A 20,033-nucleotide genomic window follows, 5' to 3' on the forward strand; every position below is an offset into this window, starting at 1 on the left:
TCAACATTGACAGCGCAAACACTGGGTCTCTGAGACCCAGCTGAGCACAAACAAAGCATTCTGAGGGCGATGGGCCGAAGGCCACATGAGGATGGGGAAGAGCCAAACCCTAGCTGGAGGCCCAAACCTGAGGGGGTGCCTGGACCGACTATCCTGCCTTCAGAGAAGTCGCCTAAATCCAGGGCAAGGCGGCCCTGCTCACAGGATGGGAAGGGGGCACAGGCCTCCCCCACCACAGCCTGCTGCCTGCCAGGCCTTCCGCGAGCCCTTGCTGACAGGCCCCGTGCTTAGTGGCCAGGGAACAGGGAGCAGAGGCTGATGGAACCAAGTGGTCAAGGCCCCGCAGAGGCTAATGGAACCAAGTGGTCAAGGCCCCGCAGAGGCTAATGGAACCAAGTGGTCAAGGCCCCACAGAGGCCTCCGAGAAGTTTCTGAAGGACCATACCCTTGGCTGGATGCCTTGGAGTCAGGGAATGTAGCGAAAGGGACAGGGAGCTCTGCCTGCCTGCAGGATCCTGAAGGCAGCCTCTCATGGTGCTGGGGCCACTCCCTGGCTCTAAATGAGGACTCTGAACAATCCATTAACTCTTACAGGCATCCACTGGAGGGCCGGCAAGGGTATTCATTCATTTAGTCATTTGATAAACAGAAACTCTGGCTGCGTGAAAGAGTTAATGTTATTTCTGCAATCCTGGCAGGCCCAAGGAGATGATTCTGCAAATGTAGATCCCCTTTTCCAAATGGGCCTGATCTAGGCAGGGGTGAGGCTGGATGTGCCTAGTGGGAGAGTCCCTCCCTCAAGCCATAGCCCCTTCCCTGTCCTGCCCCCATGAAGTTCCCAGATTCCATGGCTTCCCCATGCTGGCTGTCCCATGCCTCGCTCCTGCCCCCGGCCTTCTGTCCAGCTCCCGAGGGCAGCCCTTACCTGGGGGGCAGCTTGTACAGCCAGTGGCGTCAGGGTCTGCGATGCCTGAGGCTGGCTTGGGGCTTGGCTGAAGGTGGCAATGGCAGTGGCAGGGCTCGGAGGGATCCCCGGGGGTGACTTCACTTCACAAGGCATTGAGAGAAAGAAGGACAAGGAGTGAGCCTGACGTGAGTGGAGGGGTCACCACAGCAGTACATGACATCCCATCTGCAGCCTGAAGCGGGGACCCTCAGCCCCATGCTGCATTGCTACATAGCCCAAGACCAATTGTTGGTCTTCCCTGGCCCATGAGGCAGCTTCCTGAATGCTACGGTGGTGAGGACAGGAGGCTGGGGAGCCCTGTGCCAGCTCTGGGAGGTAGGCCACCCCTTCTCACATCTAGCTGAAGAAGATACCCAGGTGAGTGTTAGCCCTCATTTCCTGGCCCTGTAAGGACTGTCACATCATCAACAGAGGAGTCTGAAGCACACGTGTGTCAGGGAGGGCCGGAGCTAGAAATGATGGGAGCGGCTGTCCTTGGTTCATCCTGCCACTGAATCGCTGTTCATCCACCTCCAGGGTACTTTTGGATGCAGCTGCTGAAAGGGCAGGAGTTCCTGAAGGGCAAAGTCCTGGAAGCAACAGTCCCTGAAAATTGGACAGGTCTGTGCTGCACTACAGGATCACAGGGGCTCTCCAGGACAGCCAGCTTTTCTCTGCTATTCCCGGAGGTCTAAAGTCATGTGAGCAGCTTCAGTGAGCTTCTAAATGAATTTCCCGTGACCTGCAGCTTTTTGCCTTCTCTTGGTACCTTAGCCTACACACGTACTGGGGTACCCCACCAGGAAACTTCTTCACAGCCATACAACGAGGAGAAGGGTTATTATTTAATATATGGTTAGTTAAAAGGAGCCTAGGAGTTGAGTGATGGATATAGGACCAGATCACTGGCTTCTTTTTATTTTAATTTAATTTTTTTTGAGATGGAGTCTTGCTCTGTCACCCATGCTGGAGTGCAGTGGTGTGACTTCTGCTCACTGCAATCTCTGCCTCCGGGGCTCAAGGGGTTCTTCTGCTTCAGCCTCCCAAGCAGTTGAGATTACAGGCGCATACCACCACGCCTGGCTAATTTTTTTCTTGTATTTTTAGGAGAGATGGGTTTTCACCATGTTGGTCAGGCTAGTCTCGAACTCCTGACCTCAAGTGATGTGCCCGCCTCAGCCTCCCGAAGTGCTGGGATTACAGGCATGAGTCACCGCGCCTGGCCAGATCAATGGCTTCTTAAAACTGCTGGGCATATATTTCTAGGCTTTAATCCAGGCCTACTGAATCAGAATGTCCAGTAGTGGAGGCTAGTTACCTCACCTCTCTTTTTTCCTTCAAAGCTCCCCCTGCGATATGGCCAAGAGTGGGAACCACTGAATCAGATAACCGCAAAGGTTCTGTCCAACCCTGCAGTACTAGTCCATGTTTCAACTTGGGAAGGCGTCAACCTCAACTCAGGACTATACTGTTCACAGCATGCAATAATAAAACCCAGGTAGTTTAAGGAATTCAAGAGACAAGCACACACCAACAAAGGCCTTATGAAATAGTAAAAGAAAACAAAATGACAGGTTTATCTCCTCTGTGGAGGGAAGATACATTTCTAACTCCAGAAAAAAAATCAGGCTGGGTGCAGTAGCCCACGCCTGTAATCCCAGCACTTTGGGAGGCTGAGGTGGTAGCATCACTTGAAGCCAGGAGTTACCAGACCAGCCTGGGCAACAAAACAAGATGCTATCTCTACAGAAAAAATAAAAATGAGTTAAAAAAAAAACAAAAAAATTAGCAAACATAAGGAGAGTCTGAACATGTGAAAATTTTAAAAACATTTTGTTGGACAAAATGTGACAAAGCATAACAAGTAAGTGAGAAAATGGGAAAGTGACAAACATAAATGATGAAAGCTTACCCTCTAAAGAAGCAAAATATTCATTTTATTAGGGCATATTTAGTAGGACCATGGAGTCCAAGGTTTTACATACATTAGGGCTGCTATTGCTTCCTGCAAGACTGTACAGAAAGACTAAATGAACTCACAGAAACATCAACAATGTACCTGTTTCTCCACAGCACCACTCAATATAGTTGTTTTTTTTTTTTTTTTTCTGAGACAAGGTCTCACTCTATCACCCAGGCTGGAGTGCAGTGGCGCAATCTCGCCTCACTGTAACCTCCACTTCCCAAGCTCAAGTGATCCTCCCACATCAGCCTCCAGAGTAGCTGGAACTACAGGCATGTGCCACCACACCTGGCTAATTTTTGTATTTTTTTGTAGAGACAGAGTTTTGCCATGTTGCCCAGGCTGGTCTCGAACTCCTGAGCTCGAGCAATCCACATGCCTCAGCTTCCCAAAGTGCTGGGATTACAGTCGTGAGCCACCATGCCTGGCCACCAATATAGGTTTTATCATTGCTTATTTATTTTCTGGCTTAACAGGCAACTCATACCTTAAAGTCAATTACTTTTCTTCTCATTGATAGCAAGATTTTATATTTTTCCATGAAATGACTTCCTCCTATGTTAATAATTAATTTCCCTCCAAAGGGAATTTTATTTTATTTTATTTTAATTTGAGACGGAGTCTCACTCTGTTGCCCAGGCTGGAGTGTAATGGCGCGATCTCTGCTCACTGCAACCTCTGCCTCCCGGGTTCAAGCGATTCTCCTGCCTCAGACTCCTGAGTAGCCGGGATTACAGGCGTGTGCCACCACGCCCGGCTAATTTATTTATTTATTTTTTTAGTAAAGACGGGGTTTTGCCATGTTGGCCAGGCTGATTTCGAACTCCTGATCTCAGGTGATCTGCCCATCTAGGCCTCCCAAAGTGCTGGGATTATAGGCATGAGCCACCGCGCCTGGCCTCAAAGGGAATTTAGTAGACTATCACACACAGAATTTTTTAAAGGACCAATACAAAAACATTCAAAGCAGCACTGTTTATGAAAAATGAAAACCCAGACAATTTGACAATGGCCAAAACCAGAAGCAGGTGCGTGACTCTATGTCAATAAAAGACATAGGTACATGAAATTACGTGGTGGTGTCATACTACTTAGTCTACCCTCAGCGGCCACAACAATGAAAATATGCATGTGTGACAAAGACTGGATAGTAATTTAGAGTGACACAAACCAATAGATTCTGTTTTCATCCTGGAAAAGTTTCCTGTTACTCAGTTTTGTTTTAAAAACAGGAAACCCTTCTTAATACTGCACACCTAGGAAGTTTCCACCGCTCTAAGCTGGCAGCTTAGGTGGTGCCATCAAAATACCTCCCTTACCTGCTTGATGGTGACTAAAATTCCTTTATAGAGGAGGAGGCGTTTGTGAAAGGCTTAGACACACAAACCCCTGGAAGAAGATGCACACTACACAAACACTCACGAAAACCATTGATTTAAGATCCATTTCTGAGAGCGAATTTGGATAAGGAGCAGAATTAAGGCACCAGAGGAAATGAGATATGAAGATGGATAAATGGGTGAAAAGCGAAGTGAGGGCATGATGAATAAACCTGAGAAACCTCCCCTGTTTTCTGAAAAGGGGCTCCACTGCACAATGGCTATGCTGAATGGAAGGAGTGGCAGAGATGCAGGGTCCTTGTCTTCCCTGCCTGGTCCCCAGGGCACTGCCCCTTGGGAACAGGTGATGACCCATCCTGGCCTCAACATAGAAGCAGAGCATTTCCAGGCTAGGGAAAAATGGTCATGTCTCTTGTCATTCCTTTATCCAAAAAGAAAAGAAAATGACTAAGGTTACTAGGGTTCCAAAGAATTTGCATACTGATGTGAAGGTAGAGCAAGTAATGTGTGGCCATGCAGTTTCTTGTTAAGGAGCTGTTGCTTTTCGGAAGTTTGCGTGTTCTCATGTGCTCTCTTCTTGCCTCCTCTTCTTGGCCCACCCCCACCAGTCCAGATCTCCAGTCAAGGGAAGGGGGAATATACAGCAGAAGTCAAGGGGAAATGAATTGGGGTGTTCTGGGGAAACTGAAAAAGGAGGCCCAAGGCTTCCTGCAGAAGGAGATGACTACTCTGCAAGGTGTTAATGAGGAAGACTGATGAGAGGGTGCCCCAAGGCCAGGGAGCAGTGCCTGATCTCCCACAGCTCAGCGGGTTCAACTCCCAGGTGCAACCCCCTAAGCGGAGCGCTACCAGTCTCTTCCCACCTCACCCTGATCCATCCTAGTTTAGGCCTGGAAGTGACACAGACTAGAACTAAAGCTCCAGAAACAAAGAGTGTAGAGTAGCCCTCGCAGCTGACCAGAGGCACAGGCTGTCCAGTGGGCAGGCAGACAAGACCCTAAAACCACCTGAGCCCCAGGGATTCATGCTGGCTCCCCAGGGACCACAGGAGGGACTTGGCACTCAGGTGGAGCAGTACCAGGTGGGGGTGATGGCCTCGTACCAGTTGCCTCTGCAGAGGAGCCCAGGTTGTCTGGCCCAGCTTCACCAGCAGCTTGACTGGCTTCAGCAGGGTCTCCGCTCTGGGAGCCCTCGGCGGCCACACCCTCCAGTCCTTTGCTCTCTTCCTCAGCAGGGAGTTGGGCATCCACTCCGACTTCCAGCACTCGGATGGTCTCATGACCTGACATCACGATGACCTGCAAGCAGAGGACAGGGGCACTGTTGGGATAGGGGCCAGTATAGCCGCAGGGTCCAAAGCTCTGGGTATGGTTTGGGGAGAGAGGGGAGGGCACCTCTGGATGCAGACCTCCTGTCCAGAGGGCTGTGTGCTCTGTGAGAATTCCAGAGCCTGGCGCAGGTTGCAGCTCCCTGATTCCAGGGAAGGAGCTGCTGGAAGAAAGCAGGCCCTGGTGACAGGGAGAAGGGCCTGACGCAAGCTAGAAAAATGTCCCCCAGAGCCAAACCATTTGGGAGCTAATTTCTCTTTGTTCCATCTCTTGGACTCAGTGCAGGGAGCGGCGGATGGCCTATCCTACAACTTGCAAGGATGTCCTCTTGGCAGCTAGGATCTTCGAACGTGGGTATGAGGGCTCCTAACATGGTATCCACAGCTTAAGTCGGGCCAGGAACCAAATCCCTCTTCACTTCCCTTGAAACCATCTGAAAGTTCCCCAAAGATAAAGGGATGGAAAATGAATGCTCCACAATGCTGAGTAACTTCTATCGCCCATGATTCCTTTATTTCGAAAACTCTGGAGTAAAGGCTCAGGATTTCCCTGCAAGCTAAATTCCTGAAACAAGGGTCAAGAATCCTGAAGATGCATCCTCTCCCTCTCTGCCTGGCACCGCTCCTGGACTGCAGCTTTTTTTTTTTTTTTTTTTTTTGAGACAGAGTCTCGCTCTGTCACCCAGGCTGGAATGCAGTGGCGCAATCTCGGCTCACTGCCAGCTCCACCCCCCCGGGTTCACGCCATTCTCCTGCCTCAGCCTCCCGAGTAGCTGGGACTACAGGTGCCCACCACCACGCCCGGCTAATTTTTTTGTATTTTTAGTAGAGATGGGGTTTCACTGTGTTGGCCAGGATGGTCTCGATCTCCTGATCTCGTGATCCGCCCACCTCGGCCTCCCAAAGTGCTGGGATTACAGGTGTGAGCCACCACGCCCGGCCTGACTGCAGCTTTTTATCCTGTGGCCCTGTGGCTCCAGTCCTGCCACCTGCTGTGGGCATGCTCAGACTTCAAGGGCAATCTCCATGCATGAGCGATGCAGGCGGACCCTGAGCCTCCTCAGAACACTCAGTCTCCCTCCCCTGCCCAGACGACACACACTAGCTCTTCATCACCAGCACGGAAACCCTGCCAATTGGGCCATTCAAGAATCAGAGACAAAGTCTGTAAATTAAACAGCTTTGTGTCAGGCCTCTGTGCATTTGGCCTGTGCCTGAAATCACTCTCACAACACACTCTTTGAGCCTGAAAGTGGATCCAGTCGGAGGCTGTGCTGGAAAAAGTGACGATGTGACCCATCAGCAGAATATGAGATGAGTGAAATACATCCCCAAAGCAGCTCTTGTGCTGCCCCAGCTTGCCCTATGAGGGGCTTCACTCCAATTACATTTTCAGAGAAATTCATCTTTTCTTTTCTTTCTTTTTTTTTTTTTTTTTGTAGACAGAGTCTCGCCCTGTCACCCAGGCTGGAGTTCAGTGGCGCGATCTCGGCTCACTGCAAGCTCCACCTCCTGGGCTCACGCAATTCTCCTGCCTCAGCCACCCAAGTAGCTGGGATTACAGGTGCCCACCACCACGCCCGGCTAATTTTTGTATTTTTTGTAGAGACAGGGTTTCACCATGTTGGCCAGGCTGGTCTCGAACTCCTGACCTCAGGTGATCCACCCACCTCGGCCTCCCAAAGTGCTGGGATTATAGGTGTGAGCCACCGTGCCTGGCCTTTTTTTCTCCTTTTAAAAAATGGGCCGGGCGCGGTGGCTCACGCCTGTAATTCCAGCACTTTGGGAGGCCGAGGTGGGCAGATCACGAGGTCAGGAGATCGAGACCATCCTGGCTAACACGGTGAAACCCCATCTCTACTAAAAATACAAAAAATTAGCCGGGTGTGGTGGTGGGTGCCTGTAGTCCCAGCTACTCGGGAGGCTGAGGCAGAAGAATGGTGTGAACCCGGGAGGCGGAGCTTGCAGTGAGCCGAGATTGCGCCACTGCACTCCAGCCTGGGTGACAGAGTGAGACTCCATCTCAAAACAAACAAACAAACAAACAAACAAAAAAGATATAAGTAATAGTAATTTGCAAAAAAAAAAAAAAATTAGAAAATATGTGTAAGCAAGAAGAAAAACTAAGGAGTAAATTACCTGATGTTCAAACCTTTCCCCATGTAAACTTAAACATATTATGTACACTTTGATTTTACATCTTAAAGTCACAGCTTAACTCCCCAAACCCAGGCCCTGAGAAATCCTAAATGGCAAGTACCTCTGGACAGGTGAAGTGATGGTGAACCCTGGTAAGAAACAGAGAGTGAAGGGCCCTGTGGAGTCCTCCTCTGTTGCCCACACCCCTCACTCCATCACCCTTACCCCCCCACTTCCCACCCCAGAAGATACCTGCTCATTGACAGTCAGAGATGTCTCTGACCCGGCTCCAGGATCCATGGTCACTTGTCAGGGTCGGGTGGGGGCCGGCCCACACCTAGCACATCCTGGGTAAGATGGGATTGGAAAGGCAAAGGGTGATGTGACACAGTAATACAATTTCTATACCATCTAGAAAAGTCAGAATAGAATCACAGAAGACAGAGAAGTTAGGTTCTCCCAAGTATCTGTAGAGGTTAAAAAAAAAAAAAAGGATTCTTTTTTTTTGAGACAGTTTCACTCTGTCGCCCAGGCTGGAGTGCAGTGGCACGATCTGTGCTCACTGCAGCCTCTGCCCCTCGGGTTAAACCAATTCTCCTGCCTCAGCCACTCGAGTAGCTGGGATTACAGGCATGTGCCACCACGCCAGGCTAATTTTTGTATTTTTAGTAGAGACAGGGTTTCACCATGTTGGCCAGGCTGGTCTTGAATTCCTGACCTCAAGTGATCCACCCGCCTCGGCCTCCCAAAGTGCTGGGATAACAGGCATGAGCCACTGCACCTGGCCAAAAAAAAAAGATTATGTTGCATTTCCTACAGCATCCTAGGAGAATCTACACTCAGTAGTACCAGGAACATCTGGGCTTAGGGTGAGGAGAGTAAAGAAAGGGCAAGATATCTGTCCCTGGGGCCTCCCCAGTCCGGTGGGAGAGCACACCCAGCAGAACCCAATGGGAATCTGACCCTGACCCTCAGAACCTTAGACTTAGGTAAGGAGCAAGGGAGAAATCTGGGCAGACTTCCTGGAATAGATGGTAAAAACATAAATTAAAGTGCTCTCCAACTTTAATATGCATGATCATCACCTGGAGCACTTAGTAAAAATGTTAGTATTTATATCAATTAAAGTACAGAGTAGAGTGGGACTCAGTCTCACTAAATAAATAAAATACAGAGTAATAATTTAAAAATAAAAATGTAAATGCAGACCCTTAGACCTTTTCACCCAACTACTCTCAGAGAGTCTGATTCAGTGGGTGAACATCACAGAATCAGCTCTCAGGTGACTCTGTGACAGTGGCCCAAAGACCACAGTGGCCTGTAACAGAGGAGGTGGGACATCCCAGATGGTGGAACAGCCTGCCCTGTGCAGTGAGGAGTGGGTGAAGCCCTCATGTGAGGACAGGTTGTCTGACTAGAGCCACAAACTACAGTCGTAAGAAATAAAGAAAATAGGTTGGGCGCAGAGGCTCACGCCTGTAATCCCAGAACTTTGGGAGGCCAAGGCAGGAGGATCACCTGAGTCCAGGAGTTCCAGACCAGCTTGGGCAACATAGTGAGGCCCTGTCTGTACCAAAAAAAAAAAAAAAAAAATTAGCTGGGCATGATGGCGCATGCCTATAGTCCCAGCTACTCAGGAGGCTGAGGTGGGAAGATCGCTTGAGCCTGGGAGGTGGGAAGATCGCTTGAGCCTGGGAGGCAGAGGTTGCAGTGAGCAGTGAGTGGTGCACTCCAGCCTGGGTTACAGAACCAGACCCTGTCTCAAAAAAGAGAGAGAGAGAGAGACAGAGAATCAGGCAAATAGCTTTAGACACTTTTAAAGGAAAAAAAGCAATTGACATTTATTTCGAGTGCATATTGTATGCTAGACATTTTATATAACACAATTGCTTGCTGTATTACTCATGCCAACCCTGGGGGCGTGGGGAATGGGAGGCATTATTATCCGCATGTTACAGATGGTGAAACAAAGCCCAGAGGGGTGTTCTGGATTCACCTTTCCTTTCTGCTATGGTCTGAATGTGTCCTTCCCCGCAAATTCATGTGTTGAAATGCTAATCCCCAAGGTGGATAGTATTAAGAGATAGGGCCTCTGGAAGGTAATTAGGAATGGGATTAGTGCCCATATAAAAAAGAACCAAGGCTCATGCCTGTAATCCCAGGACTTAGGCAGGTGGACTGCTTGAGCCCAGGAGTTCGAGACTAGCCTGGACAACATGGTGAAACCCCGTCTCTACAAAAAGTACAAAAAGTAGCTGAGCGTAGTGGTGCATACCTGTAGTCCCAGCTACTCAGGAGATTGAGGCAGGAGGATCACTTGAGCCCAGGAGGTTGAGGCTGTGGTGAGCAGTGATTTCGCCACTGCACTCCAGCCTGGGCAACAGAGAGACCCCAGTGTGAGAGAGATACTTTCACCCTTTCGACTATGTGAGGACACAGCAATAAGGCTCTGTCAGTGAGGAAGTGGGTCCTCACCAGACAACACCACCTTGATCTTGGACTTCCCACCTTCAGTACTATGAGAAATAAATTTCTGTTGTTTAAAAGCTACCCAGTTTATGGTATTTTGTTATAGCAGCCCAAACAGACTACGATAAATTCACATCCCATACAATTAACCATTTTAGCCACTTTAAAGTGCTCCGTACAGTGGAATCTGGTGGGTTCACACTTGTGCCACCATCACCACTGTCTAGTCCCAGAACATTTTCATCAACCCAAAAGGAAACTCCATATCCACTAACAGTCATTCACCTTCCACTGCCACCGCCCAAGCCCTGGCAACTACTGATGTGCTTTCTCTATGGGGTTCCCTATTCTGGATATTTCATGTAAATGGAATGATAGAATATGTCGCTTTGTGTGTCTAGCTTCTTTTACTTGGCATGTTTCCAAGGTTCATCCACATTGTAGCATGTGTCAGAACTTCATTCCTTTTCATGGCTGAATAGTATTCTATTGTATGGATACACTATATTTTGTTTATCCATTCATTAGTTGGTGGACATTTGGGTTGTTCTACCTTTTGGCTATTGCAAATAGTGTATTATGACTATTGGGTATAATTTTTTTTGAACACCTGCTTCCAATTCTTTGGGTATATACCTAGGAATGGAATTGCTGGATCACCCCTGGGGTTTTAGCATCTTCATTGCTTGGCAGAATGTTCCCTGATCAACCAGGTAAGGAGAACCATGAGGTTCTTTCCCTCCTCTTCCTTCCTTAACCCCTCTAGAGTGGGATTCAAGAGAGGGCAAGCAATTCCAGGTACCTAACAATTTGAAAAAAGAGGAAATGAGCCTTCCCCTTTCAGGTAGGATGAGGGGGTGCAGGAGGGGCAGAGGAATTTGCTGAAAGAACTGGTGAGCATCTAACTACCTCAATGGGGCTCTAGCCTCCTTCTTAGGTGATGTCTCCCCTCAGATTTTTTTTTTGTTTTGAGATAGGGTCTTGCTCTGTTGCCCAGGCTGTAATGCAGTGGCATGACCATGGCTCATTGCAGCCTCAAACTCCCAGCCTCAAGTGATCCTTCCACCTTAACCACCAGAGTAGCTGGGACTACCCATGGCCAGCTAATTTTTTTTATTTTTTATTTTTGGTAGATATGAGGTCTCACTATGTTGCCAGGGCTAGTCTTAAACTCCTGTCTCCCCAGATTTTGTACATGGTAGTCTTCCATGAGTTTTTCAGAGAACTTGGCAATTTACCATCACTTCTGGGTAGGAACTGGGATAAGCTATGAAAGTCGTTACACATAGAAGCCATTTGCAAAGAAAATAAGAGGAAGAGACAAAATTGAAATGAAAGCTGCACAAGGTGAATCTGGGTGCATTATAGCTTGATACATACATTTCTTGGGGAGAAGAATTTTCCAATTCCAAAGGTCATTAGGCGTAAGGCAGCAGTAGCCAATCTTTGTAGGACAACAAGGCATCTGCTTGAGAGGAGCGTTAAGTCTGCTCATAGTCTTGTTGTGGCGTCTGGCTCCTTGCTGCCAACTATGGCCACTCACAGGGAGTGGCTGAGCAGGGGCAAGCGTCCACTTTGTGACTGTGTTATTAGGAGGATTCAGGTAGTGATAAGGCTTGGGTGATTCTGATATCCCTTTCACCCTTAAAATTTGACGAGCTTTGAGGACCTGGGTCCTCAGTGTCTGGTCCTTTAAGTCAAGGGCAAAGTCAGTCCTGAGACATAGCCTCTAGCCACACCTAAGCCCACTCCAACCCACCCACCAGATTTCATTCAGCCCACCAGAAATCCAGGCAGAGCAGAGTCCAAGACCTCCTTTGTCTCAGATCTCAGACTCCCTTGTCTGTCTCTGTCTTACCTTTAGATGGCTCCTATTACACATGTATGTGATATCAACGTCTCTCTGACAAGTAGACACTCAGCATTTTGACTCTGAGCTGTACCCTGTGTGTTCCCCTTGCTTGGTATCTGTGCAGACTTTCCTCTGGACCTGCTGCCATCTCCTTGTCAGGAACTTTCCAAATTTTTTTTGAGCCTCAGGCTGTGGCTTGGTTCCAGTGACTAGACAGCCCTCTTCAGTTTGCTTTTTGACCATTTCCCCAATGACTGCATAAATAGCACATCTGGATGGCCTCCTTTAAGCCCATGATGCTGTGCAGTGCCCACAGCCTGAAGGCCAGGGAGGAGAGACAATCAGCTGTCTGTTTCAAGAGAAGGAGCTCCTGTCCCCATCCCAGCAGTAGAATCCCAATACATACACAGATCACAGCAGAGCTGCTCTGGTTAAAGCTGGGGAGAGAGCCAGAGCCCACCAAGGGCCCTCTCCTTTGCCTTCTTTCTCCAGTGAGTTGACTTTGAAAAACGCCTGGATCAGGGCTGGCAAGGCACTCTGGTTGGCTAGCAAATGGCTCACTTATCCCTTGCTTTCCTTGCTAACATCTAAAAACGCAGGCAGGGCTGGGCACAGTAGCTCACACCTACAATCTCAATGCTTTGGGAGGCTGAAGGGGGAGGATTGCTTGAGCTCAGGAGTTTGATATCTTCCTGGGCAATGCAGGGAGACTCTGTCTCTACAAAAAATTGAAAAAATAAAATAAACTAGCCAGGTGTAGTGGTACACGCCTATGGTTCCAGCCACTTGGGAAGCTGAGGTAGGAGGATTGATTGAGCCCCAGAGTTCAAGGCTGCAGTGAGTCGTGATCACGCCACTACACTCCAGCCTGCACTCCTTGACAGAGCAAGACCTTGTCCCTAATAAATAAATAAATATACAAACAAAAACCCAAGCAGCCTCAGGGGTAGAAGGAACAGCAAGTGCTAAGGCATTTGCCTACCACCTGAGAATCCAAAGAGGTCCAGGGCCATGCAGGATTTTCAGCGGGGGAGAATGAGCTAGAGGACCTAGTTCTGCCTGTCATTCTCCTCTGGAACTGCTCTGGGCTTAGTGCAACATTCCAAGATACCCAGGAGGAGAACTGGGATATCCCAAACAAATCAGAACTCCCTAGAATAGTCTGAGATCCTATTAGAAGAAATCCTGAAATGCCTTGCCTTTCGTTTTTTTTTTTGTTTTTTTTGTTTTGTTTGTTTGTTTGTTTGTTTGTTTGAGACGGAGTCTGGCTCTGTCACCCAGGCTGGAGTCCAGTGGCACAATCTCGGCTCACCGCAACCTCCGCCTCCCGGGTTCAGGTGATTCTCCTGCCTCAGCCTCCTGAGTAGCTGGGACTACAGGTGCGCGCCACCATGCCCAGCTAATTTTTGTATTTTTAGTAGAGACGGGGTTTCACCATGTTGGCCAGGCTGGTCTCGAACTCCTGACCTCGTGATCTGCCTGTCTCAGCTTCCCAAAGTGCTGGGATTACAGGCATGAGCCACTGCGCCCAGCCAAACCTTTGTTTTTTCAACGCATGTTTCAGTGGCTACTATGTGCTAGGCACTGGGAATTCAATGGGGAAAACACATTTCCCACCTTTGTCAAGAAATCTATAGTCCAGGCCGGGCGTGGTGGTTCTTGCCTGTAATCCCGGCACTTTGGGAGGCTGAGGCGAGTAGATCACCTGAGGACGGGAGTTCGAGACCAGTCTGATCAACATGGAGAAACCCCGTCTCTACTAAAAATACAAAATTAGCCTGGGGTGGTGGCACATGCCTGTAATCCCAGCTACTCGGGAGGCTGAGGCAGGAGAATCGCTTGAACAACAGGGAGGCAGAGGTGAGCCAAGATCGCACCATTGCACTCCAGCCTGGGCAACAAGAGTGAAACTCCGTCTCAAAAAAAAAAAAAAAAAAAAAAAAAGAAAGCTATAGTCCAATATGGGAGTCAAGGAAATAAGAAGGTAACTACAATACAGTATGCTTAAGTTTCATGGTGGGTGAACAGAAAGCAGTAAAGAATCTACAAGAGGGACACCTAACACCTAATGACCTAATGCAGTTGTTTTTTTTTTTCGAGGCGGAGTCTCGCTCTGTCACCCAGGTTGGAGTGCAGCGGCGGGATCTCGGCTTACTGCAACCTCCGCCTCCCAGGTTCAAGCAATTCTTCTGCCTCGGCCTCCTGAGTAGCTGGGACTACAGGTGCGCATCACCGCACCAGGCTGATTTTTGTATTTTTAGTAGAGACGGGGTTTCACCATGTTGCCCAGGTTAGTCAGGAACTCCTGACCTCAGATGATTCACCCGCCTTGGCCTCCCAAAGTGCTGGGATTACAGGCGTGAGCCACCGCGCCCGGCCTCTAATGCAGTTTTATGTGGTGCTTGTTCCCAGGGAGGCCTGTATTTCAGACATGAAATTTTATGTAAAAGAATCTTGTCCTATGTAGGAAAATGGAACTTGTATGGGATTCAGACTTTTAAACTCAGATCCATTTCTGGTTTTATTATCATTTTTTTTCAGAGACAGGGTCTTTCCATGTTGCCTAAGCTGGTTTCCAACTCCTGGGCTCAAATTATCTTCCCACCTCAGCCTCCCAAAGTGCTGGTATTACTGGCATGAGCCACCATACCTGGCCCATTTCTATGGTTTATTTTATTTTATTTTATTTTTTTGAGACGAGGACTTGCTCTTGTTGCCCAGGCTGGAGTGCAGTGGCATGATCTCGGCTAACTGCAACCTCTGCCTCCCAGGTTCAAACGATTCTCCTGCCTCAACCTCCCGAGTAGCTGGGACTACAGGCGCCCACCACCTTGCTCAGCTAATTTTTGTATTTTTAGTAGAGACGGGGTTTCCCCATATTGGCCAGGCTGGTCTCGAACTCCTGACTTTGTGATCTGCCCACCTCGGCCTCCCAAAGTTCTGGGATTACAGGCGTGAGCCACCACATCCGGCCTAATTTCGTTATCTTTAAAATGGTGACTAGGCCAGGCGCAGTGGCTCACACCTGTAATTCCAGCACTTTGGGAGGCCAAGGCAGGAGGATCACCTGAGGTCAGGAGTTCAAGACCAGCCTGGCCAACATGGGGAAACCCCATCTCTACTAAAAATACAAAACTTAGCTGGGTGTGGTGGCGGGTGCCTGTAATCTCAGTTACTTGGGTAGCTAAGGCAGGAGAATCGCTTGAACCGGGAGGCGGAGGTTGCAGTGAGCCGAGATCATGCCATTGCACTCCTGTCTGGGAGACACAGTGAGACTCTATGTCAAAAAAATAAATAAATAAAAATAAATAAATAAATAAATAAATAAAATGGTGATTAAATAGGCAAGCCCTATGGGATTGTTATGATGGTGATATGAGATCATGTAAATGAAATGCTTAGCATGACTCTTACCACAATCATCTTCATTTTTATCTATATGTACATAGAGGTAGAGAGAGGTCAGGTGACTTGACCAAGGGCACAGGAGAGTCAGTGGCAGATTCAAACTTCAAGGCTCTGTCGACCTGCCCCGGACCCCATCCTCCTGACACCACACAGAACCTCCTCTCAGGAAATGGGGGTAAGGCTGATGGGGACTGCTCTGGTCCCCAAGGCTCAGGACACACTGGAAAACAGAGGATCTCAATTCTGCTCCACACCGACGCCTGTCCCCACACCCTGAACCATGAGCAGAGATAACAGTCTTGCCAAGCTGTTGGTAGGCTAACAGCTAGGCACACACAGGCCAGAGAAAGGAAAAAGAATGATGAGGTGACCAAATAAATAGGAGAGTAGAGTCAAGGGTAGTAGCTCACACCTGTAATCCCAGCACTTTGGGAGGCTGAGGCGGGTGGATCACTTGAGGTCAGGAGTTGGAGGGCAGCCTGGCCAACATGGTGCAACCCTATCTCTACCAAAACATAACAAACCCAAACAAACAAATAAAAAATTAGCTGGGTGTGGTGGCGCAGGCCTGTAGTCCCAGCTACTTGGGAGGCTGAGGCCAGAGAATCGCTTGAGCCCAAGAAGGTGAAGCTGCAGTGAGCCAAGATTGTGCCACTGCACCCCATCCTGGGTGACAGCAGAGTGAGAACCTGTCTCAAAAAAGAAAAAAAAAAGAAATGTGAAAAATGAAAAGTAGGTATGTTCCTAGTAGACTGTAAGCTCCAGGAAGGCAGGGATCATGTCTGCTTATCATCATATCCCTGGTGCCTAAGATAATATCTGGTATATAACTAGGTTCATGAATATGGGCTGAAAACAATTGAAGATACGAGGTCACGTCATAGCCACATCACTTAGCCTCTTATTATTTCCTACCTTTTCCCTCAAAACACACACCCTACTTCAAATGTTTTGCCTCCATTTCCAGTACTGGGGCTACTTAAAAATGATTTCAAAGACGTGGTACAGGCCGGGTGTGGTGGTTCACGTCTGTAATCCTAGCACTTTGGGAGGCCGAGGCGGGCGGATTACTTGAGGTCAGAAGTTCAAGACCAGCTTGGCCAACATGGTGAAACCCCGTCTCTACTGAAAATACAAAAATTAGCCAGGCATGGTGGTGTGCGCCTATAGTTCCAGCTAGTTGGGAGGCCGAGGTGGGAGAATTGCTTGAACCCGGGAGGTGGAGGTTGCAGTGAGACCAAGATCGCGCCACTGCACTCCAGACTGAGCGACAGAGTGAAACCCTGTCTCAAAAAAAAAAAAAAAAAAAAAAGAGAGATTTCCAAGGTGTAGTATTGGGTTCTGGAGAACCCAGACCACACTGGCCCCTTCCTAAAGCGCCCGTCTAATTTCTCATTCCAAGCCTTCCTCCTGTGGCCAGTTTCTCCTGCATCCCACTCTCTCTTCTGCCTCATGAACCCTCATTTTGACATGAGGGGTCAAAGGCAGGTTTAAAGGCAGAAGACCCAGCTTGAGTACTGCTTCTACTAGAGGTAATCCCTATAAGCCTCCGTTTCCTTATCCAAAATGGAACCAAATTATAGTAACCACCTCATGGGTTATTGTGAGGATTAAATTGATAATATTTATGGAAGGCACTTAAAACAGGGCCTAGCATGAAGCAAACACTATATATATGTTTGTTATTATCATTGCTATTATTTTGAACTGAAGTAAAGCATGCATATAAAAATGTTTTAAATTATAAAGCATTTTAAAAATGTAAAAGATGGCCAGGCACGGTGGCTCACGCCTGTAATCCCAGCACTTTGGGAGGCCAAGACGGTTGGATTGCCTGAGCTAAGGAGTTCGAGACCAGCCTGGGCAACACGGTGAAACCCCATCTCTACTAAGATACAAAAAAATCAGCTAGACTCTGTCTCAAAAAAAAGAAAATGTAAAAGATTACTCTGATAATTTTATGGTGAGTAAATCTTGGGGACAAGAATATGAGCTTATCCCAAGTTCCTTCAAAATGCAGAAAAACCTTACAGGAGCAAATTTTTTCTGAGTCACTTTTCTTAACTGCCAGCTAGTACTTCCAGGAACAAAACAGAATAAATGGCTACATACACACACACTGACACACAATCACTCTATGGTATTACCTTGTTAGTTTTAATGTTTAGCATCTACTTGTCCACCCCCAGAATAAAAACTCCATGATAGAAGTTTTGTCTGAATTGTTCAGAGCATGGCACTGAGTGGGTATTTTTGTTGAACTAATGAAGAAATGAAGTTCTACAGCAGATAAGCGGAGTACCAGGTCACAGAAGTATCACTTTGAGGACCAGGACTTGAATGAAAATGGAATATATGGAATTATTCCTCAGAAGGCCTCTGCCAGTCAATGGTGGCTGCCTTAGATTGCTAAATAAGGGGCATGGGACACATGTATATGAACAATTGAAGACCAGCCCTCTACTTTTGGAACAAGGAATTTGGGAAGGGCAGATGAGGTTAAAAATCTCTGCAAAGAGCCTCTTTTCTTTGGCCCAGGAATGCTTCCCGAACTCTTCTGATTTCCCCCTGCCCAGCCGCAGAGGCTATTCTGTGAAGGTTTTAGGCTTCCAGTCGGGCTGAGTGGGGTATTCTGCCGCGAAAGTGGAGGTTAGAGGGTATGCTGGGAGCTCCCTTGGCCTTGCCAGGTGAGCCTGCCCAGGGAGCCTGCATCGGGCCCATTATTATGACTATTTATTAATAATAATATCGATATTAAATATTTATGAAGTGCTCATGCTCTGCTAGAAGGTGGCCCTCCCATCACTGACCCACCCTTCCAGCAACGCCTGGGTCCCTACCCCCGGGTCCCACCGGTCGTCCCGGAGTTTGTTCATTCGGGAGAACCGTGACAGGTCACCCTGGCCGCCCCAGCTGGCCCTAACCGCCGGGAACCCAGGCGTCCGTGTTCTCCAGAGAGGCAAGGATCCGCTTCTGGTCGCCACTGGTTCTGTGTACAGAGCGTCCCCTGTGGTCCGCACCCCACAAGGGCTCCAGGGGCAGAAACGGGGAGGGGCCAGGTCGGGGTTCCCCACCGGGTCCACCTGGCGGCCGCCCCCTCCGCTCCAGGTCCAGAGCGGCCCGCGGGCGGGCGAGGGCGCGGCCCCCGGGTGTCTAGCCCCAGCTGGGCAACCGCGCGCTGTCCCGCTCCCGCAGCTCCCCGCCGCCCCGGCCCAGCATCCCGCCGCCCCGGCCCCGCGGCTTTTTTTCTCTTTATCATAAATATATAAATTATGCTAATTACGGGCATTGCATATTAACCAAACCCGAAACCTCCCCTGCCCGGCCCCCTCCCCCTCCGTGCAAACCCCTCCCCGCCCCGGACCCCGCTACTTACCGGAGCCCGAGCCCGAGCCGCCTTCGCCGCGGGTGTCTGGCGGCCACCGATTAGAGATTCATCTCACAGCCCGGGCCAGGGGGCCGGGGCCGGGGCCGGGGCCACGGCGGCCGCCGCCCGCAGACAAAGAAGCCAGTGCGGCTTGGCTGGGCTCGGCTCGGCCCGGGAGCTGGTCGGGACCCGCCGCCGCCCCCAGGCCCCCAGCCTGGGCTGGGCAGAGCCGAAGGGGGCTCCGCAGGCTAAGCCGGGCGGAGAGGGGACGGCCGGGAAGCGGGAAGGGGAAGCCGGGTGGGGGGGCGGTCAGGTATATATTTTTCTTCGTTCCCCCTTCCACGACCCCCCCCTTTTCCCTCCCCCCCTTTTTTCCCTCCTTCTGCTACTTGGATTTTTTTAGCTGCTGCGTCATGAGCATAATTTATGCAAAGAGCTTTGCCGCATGCTGCACCGCCCGCGCCAGCCGCCGGGGGCGGCGGGCTGGGAGGGCGGTCAGGGAAGGGAGGGGAGCACGGGAGCCAGGAGCGAGGGGTGGGGGTGGGGAGGGGACCCTCTGGCCCTGGCCGAGCGGGAGGTCCCGGAGGCTCTCTCCCGGGACAGGGATGGACGGTCAGTGGGTCTGGTTACTCAGCCCCTCCGAGGTGCCGCGGAGGTGGTTTCATTTCGGAAGGTGCCAGAGTAGGAGCTGGAGTCCGGACCCTCCATGCCACATGGCCTTCAGCTGAGGGTTGGGGCGGTGACTCCCGGCCACCGCCTTTCCTCTAGGTAGTCAACTGTCCTCAATGTTGAAAGTCAAGTTTATGTCTATCCCTCCCTCCCTAGAAAGGCGGGGGAACTCAGACATCGCTCAGCCAACGTGGAGAACCTCTGAACAGCTGTGCCCCAGCGCCAAAGCAGCGAAGGGTCCCAGGTCTCTCACCCGGTGGCGGCCGTGGGCTGTGTTGTCTAAAAGCAGATTTCCGGCCTTCTTGTCCAAGTAGACAAGGAAATGTGAACAGAAAGACAAAGTTCAGTGGAATGGTGAAAAACCTCTAGCAGCTTCTTAAGGTAGAGAGGGGACCAGAAAAGGGGTGGATGTGGGTGGCTGAGGGAAAGCAGATTGGAGAAGTGGTGGACAACTGAAAGAGGAAAAAGTTGGAAGACCAAAGTGGAAGCGTGGGAATGGAGAGAAGAACTGGGAAGGAAGGAGGCTCTGTAAATCCAGTGAATGTGGATCCCA

General features: G+C 49.6%; 1 protein-coding gene across 24 annotated transcripts in view, besides 5 other annotated features; it reads right to left on the reverse strand.

Moving 5' to 3' along the window:
* The window catches only part of POU6F1 (POU class 6 homeobox 1), a 31,127-nt gene extending 11,886 nt beyond the window's left edge, over positions 1-19,241 (reverse strand). For 6 of the 24 annotated variants that reach the window (NR_147046.2, NR_147047.2, NR_147048.2 and 3 more), the window contains exons 1-4: positions 18,821-19,241; positions 7,968-8,062; positions 5,352-5,547; positions 926-1,047 (exon numbers count right to left, since the gene is read on the reverse strand). Coding sequence is in view for 14 of the 24 variants with exons in the window: in NM_001330422.2 (NP_001317351.1) it covers positions 926-1,047; positions 5,352-5,547; positions 7,968-8,015 (366 nt within the window). In the remaining 10 variants the exon portion in view is untranslated. Of the gene's footprint in view, positions 1-925; positions 1,048-2,862; positions 5,548-7,967; positions 8,127-8,401; positions 8,422-9,990; positions 13,728-18,284; positions 18,485-18,820 lie in introns of those variants that run through there. The other 18 variants (XM_047429040.1, XM_047429041.1, XM_047429039.1 and 15 more) reach the window with 14 other exon arrangements.
* Positions 993-1,492: an enhancer, noted in NCBI's record as "H3K4me1 hESC enhancer chr12:51593597-51594096 (GRCh37/hg19 assembly coordinates)". NCBI's record gives its function as "activates a minimal SCP1, AML or CMV promoter by ChIP-STARR-seq in naive H9 embryonic stem cells {active_cell/tissue: H9 hESC(naive)}" and the evidence as "EXISTENCE:reporter gene assay evidence [ECO:0000049][PMID:30033119]".
* Positions 18,415-18,674: a silencer, noted in NCBI's record as "silent region_4460". NCBI's record gives its function as "represses an Ori minimal core promoter by ATAC-STARR-seq in GM12878 lymphoblastoid cells {active_cell/tissue: GM12878}" and the evidence as "EXISTENCE:reporter gene assay evidence [ECO:0000049][PMID:35858748]".
* Positions 18,905-19,064: a silencer, noted in NCBI's record as "silent region_4461". NCBI's record gives its function as "represses an Ori minimal core promoter by ATAC-STARR-seq in GM12878 lymphoblastoid cells {active_cell/tissue: GM12878}" and the evidence as "EXISTENCE:reporter gene assay evidence [ECO:0000049][PMID:35858748]".
* Positions 19,265-19,414: a silencer, noted in NCBI's record as "silent region_4462". NCBI's record gives its function as "represses an Ori minimal core promoter by ATAC-STARR-seq in GM12878 lymphoblastoid cells {active_cell/tissue: GM12878}" and the evidence as "EXISTENCE:reporter gene assay evidence [ECO:0000049][PMID:35858748]".
* Positions 19,565-19,624: an enhancer, noted in NCBI's record as "active region_6373". NCBI's record gives its function as "activates an Ori minimal core promoter by ATAC-STARR-seq in GM12878 lymphoblastoid cells {active_cell/tissue: GM12878}" and the evidence as "EXISTENCE:reporter gene assay evidence [ECO:0000049][PMID:35858748]".

Source organism: Homo sapiens, chromosome 12 (assembly GCF_000001405.40).
Source record: "Homo sapiens chromosome 12, GRCh38.p14 Primary Assembly".
NCBI classification, from domain to species: domain Eukaryota; kingdom Metazoa; phylum Chordata; class Mammalia; order Primates; family Hominidae; genus Homo; species Homo sapiens.